At 44.2% G+C, this 16,939-nt stretch overlaps 1 protein-coding gene and 1 long non-coding RNA gene across 10 annotated transcripts in view, besides 1 other annotated feature; one reads left to right on the top strand and one right to left on the bottom strand.

Annotated features, from left to right (window-relative positions):
- Window positions 1-16,939, top strand: part of CYFIP2 (cytoplasmic FMR1 interacting protein 2) — a 129,472-nt gene that overhangs the window by 108,628 nt on the left and 3,905 nt on the right. For all 8 annotated transcript variants that reach the window (XM_011534516.4, NM_001291722.2, NM_001037333.3 and 5 more), the window contains 4 exons: window positions 7,840-7,912; window positions 8,515-8,609; window positions 14,439-14,677; window positions 15,771-15,918. In XM_011534516.4, the coding sequence (XP_011532818.1) occupies window positions 7,840-7,912; window positions 8,515-8,609; window positions 14,439-14,677; window positions 15,771-15,918 (555 nt within the window). The remainder of the gene's footprint in view (window positions 1-7,839; window positions 7,913-8,514; window positions 8,610-14,438; window positions 14,678-15,770; window positions 15,919-16,939) is intronic.
- Window positions 1-16,939, bottom strand: part of NIPAL4-DT (NIPAL4 divergent transcript) — a 97,486-nt gene that overhangs the window by 12,136 nt on the left and 68,411 nt on the right. The window contains exon 2 of one of the 2 annotated variants that reach the window (NR_136204.1): window positions 1,632-1,756. The exons of the other annotated variant lie outside the window; for it this stretch is intronic. This is a non-coding gene — a long non-coding RNA (NIPAL4 divergent transcript). The remainder of the gene's footprint in view (window positions 1-1,631; window positions 1,757-16,939) is intronic. 2 annotated transcript variants of the gene reach the window in all.
- Window positions 15,297-16,496: an enhancer, noted in NCBI's record as "P300/CBP strongly-dependent group 1 enhancer chr5:156817055-156818254 (GRCh37/hg19 assembly coordinates)". NCBI's record gives its function as "activates an origin of replication core promoter dependent on BRD2, BRD4, P300/CBP, MED14 and CDK7 cofactors, with strong dependence on P300/CBP, by STARR-seq in HCT116 cells {active_cell/tissue: HCT116}" and the evidence as "EXISTENCE:reporter gene assay evidence [ECO:0000049][PMID:35650434]".

Raw genomic sequence — 16,939 nt, forward strand, 5'->3', positions numbered from 1 at the left:
GGGGAAAGGAGGACTGTGGGTCTCTATTCCAATTAAATTGCGAACTTAATTCATCTTTATTTCCTGTCTGTAAATTTGCTGATTGCACATTCCAGTCACTTGTAATAAACATAGTTAGTTCCTGGGGTCTTTGCTGATGCATCAACTGCGTTGCAAGACCAGCCTCTCCATCCCAGCACCATTATGGTTCTGAAGGAGACTCATTCTAGGGGGCAGAGTCTGCTGCCTAATGACGAGTAAGGGAAACTCATGCTGGGGACATTTACTACCCAGAAGATTCTAAGTGGCCACTTGGAGTTTTAAAATCAGCATTCCCAACTTGAGACTTGTTAAAGGCACCCAGGAATCCTCATGCCTTTGTCCTATCTAGTGCTATAAGACTTATGAAGTAGAACACAGTGAGGTTGATATTAAAGAAGATGATTGCCTGGTAGGCCCAATGGCCACTCAGAGATGAGACCAGGCCTTTGGCAGCAAGGCAATCCTGAGAGGCCATAGCTCTGGTTTATCACCCATTTCTTCATTTAATAAGAAGTATTGCTCTATTATACTCTGCCTGTGTCCAAAGGAAGACACCATGCCTATCAAAGAACTGGTGTCATTAAGTCTGGAGACTCTTACACAGAATGAGGCCAAGGGGAAGGGCAGGGTGAGTTGCATGAGGCTCTCTCAGCCTGATTTCAGGTTGATTTCCATGGTCTCCACTGGAAACCATGTATCTTTGGATTCAGAAATCTTGGGTTCAAGTCTTGCCTCTATACTGGATAGCTATGAGACTCTGTTATATTCTCTAAGCCTAGCTTATCCAACCCATGGCCCAGGACGGCTTTGAATGCAGCCCGACCCAAATTCATAAATTTTCTTAAAACGTTGATTTTTTTTTGCGATTTTTTTTTTTTTTAGCTCATCAGCTGTTGTTAGTGTATTTTATTTTTATCTGTGGCCCACGACAATTTTTCTTCCAGTATGGCCCAGGGAAGCCAAAAGATGGTACACTCCTTCTCTAAGCCTTAGTTTCCACGCCTGAAAAGTGCTGGGACTGAGGAGCTACCTCACAGAGTTCTTAGTGTTAAGTGAGGTAATGAATGCGAAGTCTCCAGCGCTTAAGAAGCAGGTCCTCGGTTACCAAGAGCCCCCTTTCCTCCTCTTGCCATCAGCAAAGAGACTTGAATCGGCCTTTTCTCTAAGCCCCGTTAGAACTGAAAGCCTGGCTCCTGACTGCCCATAGCACTGTGGCCCACACTCCTCACAAGCCCAAGCCAAGGATGCCCCACTCCTTTCATATCAGCCACCTCATTTTATCCCTGATTTCATCCTCCTCCTGAATGGGATGGCACCTTTCCTCCCAGTTCAAAACCCTGCCCCTCCTCTCAGGCCCATCTCACAGCCATCATTTCCTCATCCTCCACAAACCGCTGGTCCTTTTATTCAACACACATTTTATCAAATGCCTTTCTCTGCAAGGAACTTGGTGGTGTTTCTCTCTCTTCTCAGTCTCCAAAGCCCTTTGTCAGCAACTTCTCCTATTGCACCCAATTGATTCTGTTTTATTTCTCAGTCACGGGTGTCCTTGGATCTCTTCTCCACTAGATGGTAAACTTCATTGAAATCTCATTTTTACAGAGCTCTACCTGTTGTAGTGTTTCCCACAGCATCCAGGCCCTTCCCTGGCTCCATGGTGTGTTTCATCTTCATCTCTGTGCCTTTGAGTTGTCTGCCAGATCACAGAGCAAGCACTCAATAGATATTTGGTGACCTAAAGAAAGGAATAAAGAGGTAGCAGCAAATGCAGAGAAGTGGCATCTTCCCTATTTCTGACTTGAAAGGTGTCTTTTTATCCCTGTTTAGGTTGTATGCTAGTAGACATGGAAATGTTCAGAATTTATGTATTCCCTTGAACTCAAGGAGCACTTTGTGCTGTTTTTCTCTTGGGTCTCATATAGTCAGAGGAACTGAAGTCTCCGGAAGGGTCTTGGTCACCCTGAGAAGCACCCACTTATGCAAACCTTGCACTTGCACAGTTCCTTTCCCCTGGGGTCAGCCTCCATCCCATGCTGACTTCCAAGCTCAGATCTACTCTGCAGACTCTGCAGGGCCTAGGCCTCACATCTAGTTGCCTTTTAGACATCTTCTCTTCCGTGTCCACACACATCAGAAATTTACCTTGCCTGAATCTGACCTTGGCTTCCTCCTGCCTGCAGCCTTGCTGTTCTCTGACTCCATAAACGGTACCAACGTCATACAGGTGCCCTGGGCAGGGGTCCTTTTACTCCCGCCCTCAGGTCCAGTCATCAGGTCTCTGGCCTCTGCTCACTTCCTTCTATCTCCTTTGCCGCTACTCCTGGCCCTGCTTTCTCCTGCTTGGACTCTTCCAACACCCCCTTTGCTCTCCCCAATCCTTTCTCCCTTGCAACCAGAAGGTGAAACTGCAGCTTGGCCATTTCCCTGATGAAAACCATCAGGATAATGTCTAGAAATCTAAGAGAGGCTTAGAAGATTCTTCCCAAACCACTCCTGCCCACCCCTCCTTCCTGTCTCACATCACTTTCCTCTAGCACTGAAAGCTTCAGTCTACCTTGGCTCTCAGCCCTGCCCTACTGTGGCCTCTTGCTTTGGGGCCTTTGCAGGTACTGTTCCCCCTTAGCTGTCCAACACTCACCCCTGGTTCAACTTAGCGTCCTTCTTCAGAAAGTCTTCCCTATCATCCTCCCCAAAAGTCTGAATTGGTTGCTCCTCTTTGCATCCCCATAGACCCCAGGCATACCCCAATTGTAGCACTTACTAGAATTGCCCATTCTAGTTTTGACTTATTTTGTCATCATCTTGGTAAGGGTTGTGCATCTGGTCTCCCTCACCTACTCCAGCACCTTGCAGAAAGCCTTGTGCCTATTATTTGCTATATAAATGAAAGAATGACAATCTCTGGCTCAGGCTCTATTCAAGTCAGAATGAAAGTCTTCAGAATTTGGTACAACCTTGTTGGGTATCTAGATCCTATTATACACATGTTCTCTGTATTCTTGCTGGCCTCTCATATCATGCCAATGAGAAAAATATAGAGAACGTGCAGGTCCTGCACATGGGTTGTCCCTCAAGAAGATTCTCAATCAATGTTTACATGAGATGTGGGTCACTGCCCTGGTCCTCCATCAGCAGCTCAGATTTCAGGACCCTGGGCTAGATAAGACAGCCCAATGTGCAGATGGCTTAGTGGAAGCCCTGAATGAATAAAAGCTCTGGTAAGTTTTTAAAAAGCAAAGGCACTGTGGGCTGGAGGGGCTTGGAAGACTCCTAGAAGGTAAAACTTAAATGGGGCTTTATGGGATGGATAAGACTGGGTAGAAAACTTTGGGTGGGGGTAAGAGGGTCAGGGAAGAAGGAATTTTTGGGTACAAACTGACGTGAGTGGTCTAATTATAGACTTGGAATAACATCAACAGATTTATAAAAATTAGTCCATCTGCAAAGAAATTATTTAAACCAATTCAGGATTGAGGCTACCTCTGGAAGTTGGGAATAAAGGTATCAGTAATTTCCTATTTCTTTGTACAGAAGAAGGTAGCTCAGACTCTTGTTCTTCTTCAAACTGCATATATACCACAGTTTCAAGAATGTTAGTTGCTATAACCAAAAACCCAATAAGTCAACAAATGATATGATCCTGTCAGATGTGAGTGAGGCTGAAGTTTCTTAGGTGTTAAGATTTTAAGTGATTTTCTGTTTCTATTCTTGGTAACTTTGCAATTTAATGACATGTATATATAATGAAGGGGGAAAGTCAGGCTTCCCAAGGCTTTGGCTGCATTGGCTGCCATGGAAAAACAACGGGTGTCGAAGTGGAGTGGCTCCTGGATCGAAATGTCAGCCTTACTGCTTATTTAAGCATCTGTGTGCGGACCTAGTTAGGAAAGTTCACCTTACTACCAGCCTTGATGTCCTTGTCCACAGGATGGGGACAGTGAGCCCTATCTCACAGGGCTGTCCAGAAGCATAAAGCAGGCGACTGACAGAAAGCAAATAGCTCATTCGTTAGTGCTCAGTAATGTTCATTGCCTCTCCTTCTCTGAAGAGAAAAGTGGTTGTATTTTACAGACTCTTGGTTCTAGAGACTTGGAGACCATTTAATCCAGCCTCTTCATTTTGTTTAAGTTGCTAATTGCACATTATAACTTAATTCCATTAAGTTCTTAATTGCACATTATAACAAATCAAATACTACAGATGAGCTTTTGATGAAAAACATCCTACTTGGCTCCACTGCACCTCTGCCCACCTGCATTCCCAATTCCCAGGGCAGCCTATCCTGTTTCCAGTTCTTCCAGTTACCTCCATAACACTCATGAGGGTAACCTATTTCTTAATTAGCAACTTTAGACAATACTTACTGACTCCCTACTTGGAAAGATGAGATTTTATCTCATTTATCTCTCTCCCTCTCTTCCTTTCAAAATTTGATTATATTACTGCTTCTGTTGTTTTCTCTTGTCATATCTATATGATTATAGATAATATACTTACATCTCTACTGCTGCTTTTGGTAACAGGATTTAGTATCTTGACTCCTTTCCATGAAAGGACAAAAGACTGAGGAAATTACCCCATAAATTAAACTTAAATGAAAGGAGCCAATTCCTTAAGAGACACAAACCGCCAAAACTCACTTAAAAATTGATAAGCTGAATAGTGCTGTATCTATTAAAGAAATATCATTCCTACTTATAAAAAAAAACTTCCAACAAAAAAAAACTCCCAACTCTGTCTCTACAAAAAAATTAGCCAGCTTGGTGGCACTTACCTGTAGTCCCAGCTATTCAGGAGGCTGAGATGGGAGGATCACCTAAACCCAGAAGGTCAAGACTAGTGAGCCATGATTACACTACTGCATTCCAGCCCAGGCAAGGGAGCAAGACCCTGTCTCAAAAAAAAAAAAAAAAAAAAAAAAACCCACACCAGACGCAGATGGTTTCACTTGTGAATTCCATCAAATATTTAAGGAGGAAATAGTACCAATTCTACATGGTCTCCTCTGTAACCGCCCAGCAGGTTCGCCTTGCCCACTGCCCAGACAGAGCCTATTTATCCAGACAGGGGAATTGCAAGGGACAAAGAGTAATGCATGCAAAGCTGGCCATGCAGGAGACTGGAGTTTCATTATTACTCAAATCAGTCTCCTTGAGCATTCGGGAATCAGATAATTTAAATAATTTAATTATTTAAAGATAATTTGACAGGTAGGAGCTTAGGAAGCGTGGAGTGCTGATTGATCAGGTTGGAGATGGAATCATGGAGGGTCGAAGTGAGTTTCTCTTGCTGTTTTCTGTTCCTGGGTGAGATGGCAGAACTCCTTGAGCCAGATACCAGTCTGGATGGTGTCAGCTGATCCACTGGAGTGCAGGGTCTGCAAAATATCTCAAGCACTGATCTTGGGTTTTACAATAATGATGTTATCACCAGGGGCAATTGGGGAGGTTCAGACTCTTGGAGCCAGAGGCTCCGTGACCCCTAAACTGTAATTTCTAATCTTGTAGCTAATTTGTTAGTCCTGCAAAGGCAGACTGGTCCTCAGGCAAGAAAGGGGTCTTTTCAGGAAAGGGCTATGATCAATTTTGTTTCAGAGACAAACCATGAACTGAATTCATTCCCCAAGTTAGTCCGGCCTCTGCCCAGGAGTGAACAAGAACAGCTTCCAGGTTAGAAGCAAAATGAGGTTCATTAGGTCTGATTTCTTTCACTGTCATAATGTCCCCTGTTATAATTTTGGAAAGGTGGTTTTGTCTCCAAAAAATACAAACAAGGGGAACTCTCCCCATCTTTTGAGGTCAACATTACCCTAATACCAAAACCTAAGGCATTTGAAAATAAAACTACAAATCAGTATCCTTCATGAATACAGAGCAAAAATCCTCAACAAAATGTTAGCAAATAAAATCGAGCAATACATCAAAAGTATAATATAATCAAGTGGGTTTATTTCAGGTATGCAAGGCTGACTCATCATTCAAAAATCATCCAATGTAATTCACCATGTGAATATGAAAGATTAGCCTGAATGATCAGTAAGCAAAGTTTTCAGGTTATATGATGAATCAAAGGATCTAAGCTTAGACATAGCAATGAAGGCCAGGTTATGGGATTTACTAGAAAGGAAAGAAACAAACACCTCACTTAAGAAAGGAGGAAAGGGCCGTGCGCAGTGGCTCACACCTGTAATCCCAGCACTTGGGTAGGCCAAGGCAGGCAGATCACCTGAGGTCAGGAGTTTGAGACCAGCCTGGCCAACATGGCAAAACCCCATCTCTACTAAAAATACAAAAATTAGCCAGGTTCAAACATAGAAAATGATAAACAGAGTGAAATAATACGGACCTATATATCCGACCACCAGCTTAAGAAAGAAAACATTGTAAATAGAATAAAAATTGTGTTTTTCCACCACATACTACCTTGCCTTCCCTTTCCACTGAGACATAACCACTACTCTGGATTTGGTAGTTCTTACTCCCACGAATTTCTTTATTACTTTACTTTGTACATATGTATCACTGAACAATACATATCATTATTGTACATGTTTTTAGATGTAAATAAATGCTATCACATTGTAGGTATGATAAAAAAAAAAAAAAATTAGCCAGGCATGATGGCGAGCGCCTGTAGTCTCAGCTACTCAGGAGGCTGAGGCAGGAGTAATTGCTTGAATACAAGAGGCAGAGGCTGCAGTGAGCCGAGATCATACCACTGCACTCCAGCCTGGGCAACAGAATGGGACTCCGTTTCACAAAAAAAAAAAAAAAAAAGGGGTGAGGGGGAAGTTTCCCCTCTGGATAAGAAACTGAGAATGACAGTCAGATCAGGCTCCTGTGAGGGGACTGCAGAGTGTTCTTCCTCTGGTAGCCTCATTTCTAGGACTGATCTGCAGTTAAACAGGAGTTGGGGCTCCCCTCTTGAACAGCTGGCCTTTCAGAGTCCTGGATTGGCAGTGTTCCATCCATGCCCGGGGTAGAAGAAGGCAAGGACACCTGCAATCTTGATTTTCTCAGATGCTTAGAATCCCAAAGTGTCAGAGTTTGAAATGGAGCCTGGATCCTACCTAATCCAAATGCCCATAGTTGAAGAGAAAGCAAACCCCGGCAGAGGATGGCTTCTCCAGACTCCTTCCCTCCCCTTTGTTCTGAAATCCAGGGATTGTGAGCATGTCCCAGGACAGTAAGCCCATGAGACCCTATCTCCCGTCTTGCCCTAACCAAGCTTCCCCTCCAACCACTGTATGTTTGCTTTTAAGTTTATCTTTGCACATAACAAATAACCATTGAAACCAATCTGGCCTGGGTTCTCGTCCCTCTTTTCTTGCTAGTTGATGTCTGGTGTGGAGAAAACCAATCAGACATAGGCCTTTACACAGAGTCCTAGATTTGTAGACTGGAAGACTGACCTAGCCACCTGCCTTGAGCCTACAGACCTCACAACCAAAAAGACACAGACTGAGGCCCATCATATGTTTGATTCTGTGTAATCCATCCTAATTCAACAAATTCCTGATAAGATTATAGTAAAAATGTATTGAGCTCTCATTATGTACCTGTGACTATTCCACAAGGTTATGCATTTTCTCGTTTGATCCTCACAACCCATTAAAATAGGTACTGTTCTCATCCTTATTTTGCAGATAGATAAAAAGACTCAGAGAAGCTAAGTAACTTGCCCAAGGTCACAGTGAGTAGAAGAGCCAGGATTTGAACCCAGGTCTAGCTAACTCCAGTGCTCAGGTTTTTAGGAATGAAAAATCTTCCTGGTTTAAAATGAAAATTGTTTTCTCTTTCTTTACCCCCATCTCTGCAGTCTCAGGAGGAGGTCTGCGATTTGCTCCATGCCGCACCCTTCCAAAACATCTTGCCTAGAGTCTACATCAAAGGTAAGAAACCACTACAGCAGCTGAATAGCCAACTGGCGTTTGAACCTTATTCTCACTTCCTAATTGCAGTCAACTCAGATCTAGTCAGCAAGGGGGAAGGTTAAAGCTTTGGACACCTATTGAATAGCCACAGAATCACAAATTGGAAGATGGACCTAGCCACCTGCATTGAGCCTGCTGACCTCATGACCAACCAGACAGACTCTGAGGCCTATTATCTTTGATTCTGTCATTCATTCAAATTCTTCAACAAATTCCTTATAAGATTATAGAAATGACACTCCAGGCCCTGTCCCTTGTTCCTTCTAACATATCTCTAGTATAGTGATATCTAGACTTGGAATTTAAATATATATATTAATATATTAAACCACTATACTAGAGATATTCTAGAAGGCAGACGATTCCATTCTTGGACAAATCATAGAACATTTTTCCTTGTAAAAACTACTCACACTTTCCAGAACGAAGGAGAGCAGTTCCACACACTCCATCCCATTTTTGGAATGCAGATACATCATCAGGTCCTTTGGGAGTTTTTCCTTCCCCAGTTGCCCTGTGTTCCCTGAGTCTCATTTTCTGCTCTGCGACTCCTTTTGCAGAGGGGGAGCGCCTGGAGGTCCGGATGAAACGTCTGGAAGCCAAGTATGCCCCGCTCCACCTGGTCCCTCTGATCGAGCGGCTGGGGACCCCTCAGGTACCAATCTTATATAATAAATGGGCTCTGATCACTGACAGGAACTTGAGAGCATTTGACCAAACCCCCTCATTGTACAGGTCAGGAAACTGAGGCTCAGAGAAGGGAAGACAATGTCCAATACCCAAAAACTGGTTAATATTAATAGCAACAGCAGGTCTGGAATGAGATTTGCTGACTCTCAGGCCTGAGTGTTTCTTCTGTAGCCTGTATCATGTATCCTGCCAACAAGTCGTCTGCTTATTTAAACAAGTATCTACTGTGTCCCTGGTAGATATCAAGAATCTGTTACTTTGCCTCTGAAAATTAAAACTCCACATACTCTGTGAGCCAGCAGTTCACTTCTGGATACTTTTGCTAAAGAAACACTTAACGGAACACTAGATGCTTATGTAACATTGTTTGTTAAAGCAAAAACTAGAAACAACCCAAACATCTAATAGTAAAGCATTGATTAAATAAAATGCCAGGTTATTGCATATCACGTATGTACTTAATACATAATGAAAAGGCAAAATTAGATCTTGTTGCATCAGTGTGGATAGATCATAGGCACAGTCAATTGGATGAAGCAAGCTGCACTACAGTTCATGCAGGATGATGGCTTTTTTTAAATGCACACAACAAAACCATATAAAACTCTTCTGAAAATGTCTGGAATGATGTCTACCTAGTTTATCATGGTGGCAACCTCTGAAGAGAGATGAGATAGAATAGAGTGGGAGAGAAAGAAGACTTCAGCCTTTTCTGTAGTGTTCTAACAAGGGTGAATGAGCTTATATGTTATTCTGTAATTGTTAAAAACCAGTACGAGTCACGATGAACATCAAGATGAGTAAGACAGGACCCCTGCCTTCAGAGAATTCAGATTATGCAGGGAGCAGGAAGGAAGAGAAATAGGGGGAGAGCGGAGAAACAAAAGGCATGTGCTATCTCCTTTCAAGTTGATTTCAGCAAGCTTCACATTTTGGGGGCAGGCAGGGGAAGAATTCTAGAAGAGAAACAGGGTATTCTAGTGAGACAAGCCAATGCTGACTGTTTAAGAGATTTAGGATTGAAATCTGCTTTTGAACTCGCATTCCGGCGGTCCTCTTTGGTGTTCTCACCAAGGGCAAAAGGACTCAAATCCTCAGCGGAGGACAGAAGGTGGCCTCTCTTCTGGCAAAACATGGTAAGTATTTTTGGAGCACGATGCAAAGCCTCATCTGCACAGACGTCATGCTGAGGAAGCCACCCCAGCCCGGCCCCCGCATGCCACCAACCTCCTTCTGAAAATGGTGATTAAAAGCTAATCATGGGGCCGGGCGCGGTGGCTCACACCTGTAATCCCAGCACTTTGGAAGGCCGAGGCAGGCGGATCACCTCAGGTCAGGAGGTCGAGACCAGCCTGGCCAACATGGTGAAACCCCAACTCTACCAAAAACACAAAAATTAGCCAGGCGTGGTGGCGGGCACTTGTAATCCCAGCTACTTGGGAGGCTGAGGCAGGAGAATTGCTTGAACCCAAGAGGTGGAGGCTGCAGTGAGCTGAGATCATGCCACTGCACTCCAGCCTGGGCAACAGAGCAAGACTCCATCTCAAAAAAAAAAAAAAAAAAAAAAAAGCAGCTAATGGTGGTTGGGTTCTTTGACTCACCAGAGAGAGAACTCAGATACTGTAGAGCACACACATTTTCTTTTTTGGCCTGCAGAGGCTAAACAGAGGAGATCCTCTCCAGTGATTTCCTTTTAGGGAGAAAACCCAGTGAGTGACATGTGAATGTGTCTGCTCCACTGCTGCTGTCATCCTGCAGGCATCCCGCCTCTCACTCCGAAGTCTGGCATGTGTTTCCACTTAGAGGACTGTGAATTCCTTCCCTGTTCTGGTGAACACCATTTCCTTGGGACTGATAGAAATCTCAGTCTGTCAAATGCCTAGTGTTTAACAAATAAAAGCCTAGACATTCTGTGAGACAGGAAATGCTAGTTTTATAAGTCTCCCATTCCTCAAGAAATAGTCCAAAACTTAGTCATTCCATGAACCAAAGAAAAGTTAACAAAATATTAACTTCTGAGAAGGTTTGGGCACAGGGTACTCGTAAGATATCTAGGAGGTGACAGAGGAAGTCTGCAACATATTTAAAGCCGGGAAGCTTGAGCAGTATTGCATTCTTTGCATTTGTTTGAGACAAATTGAAGTGACCTGGTTTGTTGCCCCACACTATCACCAAGAAGAAAAACTTGGGGCTGGGGGAGGTTAAAAGACAGGGATCCTTGTCCCTTCTCCACCCCTGAATTATCTAGTGCAAGCCATTTTTCTCAATCTTTATTTTACCATCTATGTAATGGGATCATAGCTGCTTTACCTGCCTTTCTTGTTATCACGAGCAAATAATAGAAGCATAAGAATTCAAAAAACATTGAGGTTTTTGAGAAGGAATATTGTTACATATTCCTTCTCAAAGTTATAGAGAAGGAATATTGATGATTCCGGCACAGCTTCACAAATGTTTTCTCTATCCCCTTGTTAAACTCACATAAGAAGGGCAGAAAGAGAAATACTCCCCACCGAGGGGAATAGAAAAGAAATGGATAAAAGCTATGTTAAACACTCCCCTCCCTACATAACACCAAACTGCAAATTGAGGGTATTTGCAGGAAGCGAGCTATAAAGCACATTTTCAAAGCAAAGAGAAAATGATAGACATACCAAAAGACAAGATGTGAAAGAAAACTCACAACATAAAAAAATACAATGTTAACACACACGGAAAAGTATCTGGCCTTACCAGTAATCAGTGAAATGCACATTCAAAGAATGAGGTAAAATTTTTAAAATTTTTCATCTCAAGTTGATGAAGACTATTTCTGAATGGAATAATTTTATTATTATTATTGAGACAGGGTCTTTGCCTGTCACCCAAGCTGGAGTGCAGTGGTGTGATCACAGCTCACTGCAGCCTCAGCCTCCCAGGCTCAAGCAATCTTCCTGCCTCAGCCTCCCGAGAAGCTGGGATGACAGGCGCACAACACCATACCTGGATAATTTTTTTTTTATTTTTATAGAGATGAGGTGTCACTATGTTGCCCAGTCTGGGATACAGGAGTATTCATGAGGGTACAAGGAACAGGCTTCACACAGGTAGATGCACACGGATCAACTTTCCTTGAGAATAGTTTGCCACTGTATAGCAGATGCCTTTTACAATATTTATACTCATTGACCCTTCAGTTACTAAGTATTCATCCTAACAAAATGCTCAGCGGTAGCTCACACGATGTTATGTATAAGGATGGTGGGCTGGGCATGGTGGCTCACACCTGGAATCCCAGCACTTTGGGAGGCCAAGGTGGGTGGATCATGTGAGGTCAGGAGTTCAAGACCAGCCTGGCCAACGTGGTGAAACCCCATCTCTACTAAAAATGCAAAAATTAGTCGGGCGTGGTGGCCCACGCCTGTGATCCCAGATACTCAGGAGGCTGAGGCAGGAGAATGGCTCGAACCCGGGAGGTGGAGGTTGCAGTAAGCCGAGATTGCGCCACTGCACTCTGGCCTGGACAGCAGAGTGAGACTCTGTCTCGAAGATTTAAAAAAAAAAAAAAAAAAAAGGATGGTGTCTTTAGAATTGTTCATAATTGTGAGTTTGTAAACAATTTAAGATAACCAAGTATATACGACTAAATGAATTATATCAATGACCATTAAATGTAGTCATTCCTTCACAATATTGAAAGAAATAAGTTGAAGTTACTGATATATTAAGAAAAAAGCAACATAGTAATATGACTCAAATTGTTAAATATACATGTATACATTCACATACCTAAACAAATCATACATATTTTAAGAATGCTCATCTCTGGGTAATGAGGTTTATGAAATATTTTTATTTTCTTAGAACTTTTTTTTTCTTTTTTCCTAACCACTAGGCCACCAGGAAAGGACAAACACTTTTCAAAGGAAAGGGAGAAAGCTCCTGTGTCATTCAAGGCCCTTTTCATTGGCTGTAGTGGGTGGGGGGCACCAGAGTTCAAAGTCTGTCTGCAGATTGATAACCTCAGTTGCCAGTTTTTCTATTCCCCCTTCCAGGACTGTCTGACCCTGAGGACTGATTCAAATTAACCAAATGCACAGTAGATTAATTAGTAAACCAGAACTTTGCATTAATTTGCAAAATATTCATGGCTTGAGAACAAATTGGGGTCTTTTATTTACTGAGCGTCTCCCCTGTACCAGACATTCTCTTTCTGAAATGGGGAGCCCTTTCTGGGGCCAAATAGAACAGAGTAAGAACAAATAAAGAGAATACAAACAGACTCAAACACAGGCTCAGGATTTTTTTTTTTTTTTTAACACAAGAGATATTTTTAGCTAACTATGGCAATCTGAGCAGTTCCCTCTCTGCTCCCAAGCTGTTCCTGCCAATGAAATCAGGATGAGTCACCGGGAATCAGGGTTCCCTCTCCTTCGTGTTTAAAACACACATTGGCAAGCTACTTCTCCAATTCATCTTTTTCCTAGATTTCTTTCAGTTGGTAGTTGTCATGACAACTACACTCATGGTCCACATTTATAAGAGACTCCTGCATTGGTGTCTCCTGATTTCCTTCCCTTCATGGATTCACTTAAAAGTCACCCTCTCTTCCTGGGGGCCTCCAGGGAGTGAGCTTCCGGGGTAGGTCAGGCAGGTGCCTCCCAGCCACCCTGTAAAATGGCTCCTTGGTGAAACCTCCCACTGGGGAGCTGATCCCATAAGTCCCCTTCTGTGGATCTCTCAGTGTGAGAAGCCTGCCTTTTTTAGCTTTGTTCACAGATTTGGAGACCTTACTTTAACCTCAGATTTTAACATTTACCTTACTTTGCAGATAGCTTTCAGGACCTCTACCCCTACATGTTTTGACTCATAACATGTGTAGTAATGTGTTTTGACATCTAGTCTGTCTAGCCAGCTGCTTATTAGATATGCAGTAGCCAGAACCCAGATGAAAAGCCAGTTTACATTATTAATAGAGGTCATTTGTAACTGTCAAAGAAGCACTTCTAGAGGAAATAATTATCTGAAATCATGGGCAAGTTTTAAAAGTAACATATGCTCATTGTAGCACATTCAACTGTACAGAAGTATTTAAAGTCAAGAGTGACAATCCCACTCACTACTCCAAGCCCATCTGTTCCCACAACTGATGTTAGTCCTTCTAAAATATGCTTTACACACACACATCACACATACTTTCATCTGTGTGATTGTACATTGTCAATGTTTTTAAGTAGAATTGTAGTATACATTCATTTCTGCAATTTGTTCTATTTACTTTACAACTTAACCAATAGATCTAGACTACTGGGTCAAGTGTGAGCTTTAACACTCACTGGCTGCCTCTCTGAACCTTAGTTTCTTCGTCTGTAAAATGGGGAGAGTAATGGCATCTACCTCATGGGATGGAATGGACTCAATACCTATCAAGTGCTTAGAACAGGGCCTGCTTTATTACCCACACTCAGAAAGCATAAGCTAGTAGTAATTATAGTAGAAGCAGTAGTACTACTAGTAGTATCATGTCAGTCTTTTCAATGGCTATCCAGAATTCATTATGTGGGTAAATCATAATTTTAAAAATTAATCCGCTACTGATGGTGCCTGGATTTTACTTAACACCAGTAAGACTTACCATGAAACTTCCCTGCTGTTGCATTCAGGATCATCAATTTTGTGCCCTGCTCTGAACAAGACCAGTTCTGGTGAACCAATTTCAGGTGCAGCCAGCTCCAGAGTTCGGGAATCTGTGGTGGGAGGTGGCAGATGGGCTCTAAGATGTGGATAGAAGGTGTATGTGCCCTTCTGTTTCCAGCAAATCGCCATTGCTCGCGAGGGTGACCTCCTGACCAAGGAGCGGCTGTGCTGTGGCCTGTCCATGTTCGAGGTCATCCTGACCCGCATTCGGAGCTACCTGCAGGACCCCATCTGGCGGGGCCCACCGCCCACCAATGGCGTCATGCACGTCGATGAGTGTGTGGAGTTCCACCGGCTGTGGAGCGCCATGCAGTTCGTGTACTGCATCCCTGTGGGAACCAACGAGTTCACAGCTGAGTGAGTACCCCCCAGAGAAGGCAGGGTTACCCCCAACCTGCCTGTGCTCCTGCAAGTCATGGGGCTGCCAGAGTTCAGCCAGAAACGTGGGCAGGGGGTGGGGGTGGTTGGCCAACAACTACTTTGTTGAGTGTGTTGAGCTGACTGCATTGGCAAGAAAGAGCCCAGTAAGGGTTTGATAGTAAGACCCTCACTGCCTGCCTCACCCCCACTACACTGTACTACTGGAAAATGAGGAGCCTTTAGGAGTCCTTAGAGCAGACAGCAGAGCTAGTTCTTCCTGCCCTCACCCAGCTACATGTCTAGGACAGAGTGGAAAGGCAGACAAGGCCTCCCCTCCAGCAGCCAAGAGCTCTAGGAAAAAGGCGTGGTGGGGAGAGGAGGCTTCCTGGAGAAAGTGGTGTTGATGAAGCTGTTTCAGAGCAGCGCTAGCCTGTAGGCTTCCAGTACAGTGATGGGGAACTGGGGACACCTGCCCGGGTTGGGGCTGCTGCTTGAGGACAAAAGAGACAGCCAAAGGATGACTCTACTGCCATCCAAATTGCCTAGGTCTCTTGAGAGTTGGGGGCCAGGCCTCTTGAGAGTTGGAGCTTTGTCAGAACCAAAAGGACTCAGCCTCAACCCCAGCAGCATCTGCCCACCATGGCCTGTCCCTTCCCTTTCAGCCTGCTTCTGGCCAGTTGGCCTCCTGGTTTGAAATGGCCCCTCACCTGCTAGGTGTTCTTTTAGCTCCTTTAGAGAGTCAAGACAGATTCTCCTTTGACCTGCACGGAGTAATCAGCCACATACATCTCAACAGCTGGGTGGGTTTTTCCTTGCAAATTCAGAGCGTCTTTAGAGCTGATTTTTTTTTTTTTTACATTAGTGATGCAAATGTAATTTGTGGCCGGAAGGACTTATGACATAACTACCATCCCTGCAACTAATGAACCCACCCTCACAGCTTCCTTTGTACCCATTTTATAGGTTAAGAGACTTGGCCCAAAGACAGGCCTGCTTAGTAGCTGTACTCCTGGCCCAAGATGAGGCTCCCTCCCTCCCTGCCCTCCTCCCCCGACCTCTCACTCCAGCTGCTTCCTCCCCCTGCTCCCAGGCAGTGTTTCGGCGATGGCTTGAACTGGGCTGGTTGCTCCATCATTGTCCTGCTGGGCCAGCAGCGTCGCTTTGACCTGTTCGACTTCTGTTACCACCTGCTAAAAGTGCAGAGGCAGGACGGGAAGGATGAAATCATTAAGAATGTGGTGAGCAGGCTGGTGGCTAAGGCCTGGGAGGTGGGGCTGGGCTGACAACCAGGCTTTTACCAGAAAAGCAAACAAGGAGGAGCTGCTTGTGAAGGCCAGCTCCCCACACGGCAAGTACAAAGATACTATAGGCTGGGGACCTGCTTAGAGGAAGTCGTGAGGTCGTGAGTCACCCACTCATCACCTACTGCCATGAATCAGTTCACCCCGAAGGGCAGGGCTGGGCTCCAGACCGGGAGCACATCTTCCCTGTCCCAATCAGACTCTGCTGATGCCAGTTTCTCACCTGTACAAATATTCACCAAATACCAGAGTTGTACGGGGCACCTGGATGGGATAGGTACTGGCGTGGGGTGAGCCAGGCTGCTATGGGAAGGGAGAGAAGGACCCTTAAACCAGGCTGAGGGCAGAGAAAGCTTCCCAGGAGAGGGAGGCTGTGTCTGGGCTGACTCCAGAATGGCCCGCAGCAAAGAACCAAGCAGCAAAGGTGGTATGGGGCGGGTAGGATGCTCCAGACAGCAACAGTGACAGCAGAGGCACTGAGGCAGGAAGGCGGATCGAAGGGTGGGTCTCAGGGACCCAGTGAGAGGAGAGAGAGGTAAGAGCCACCTCACAAAGGGCTTTTTTAAAAAATACACATAAAATAGTTTCAATGGTAATTTTCAGTATATGATTCAGTGGCATGAAGTACACAAGTATTGTACAATCATTCCCAACATCCACCTCCAGAGATTTTTCATCTTCCCCAACTGAAACTCCGGGCCCATTAAAAAATAATTCCATTTTCTCCCCAGCCCCTGGTAACCATCATTCTACTTTCTCTATGCATTTGACTACTCTAGGTACCTCATATAAATAGAATCACACAGTATTTGTCTTTTCGTGACTGGCTTATTTTAGTTAGGATGTCTTCAAGGTTCATCCATGTTGTAGTGTCCAAACTTCCATCCTTTTTATGGCTGTATAATATTGCATTGTGTATATAGACCACGTTGTGTTTGTCCACTCAGGTTGCTGTCAC

This window comes from Homo sapiens, chromosome 5 (assembly GCF_000001405.40).
Source record: "Homo sapiens chromosome 5, GRCh38.p14 Primary Assembly".
Taxonomy (NCBI): domain Eukaryota; kingdom Metazoa; phylum Chordata; class Mammalia; order Primates; family Hominidae; genus Homo; species Homo sapiens.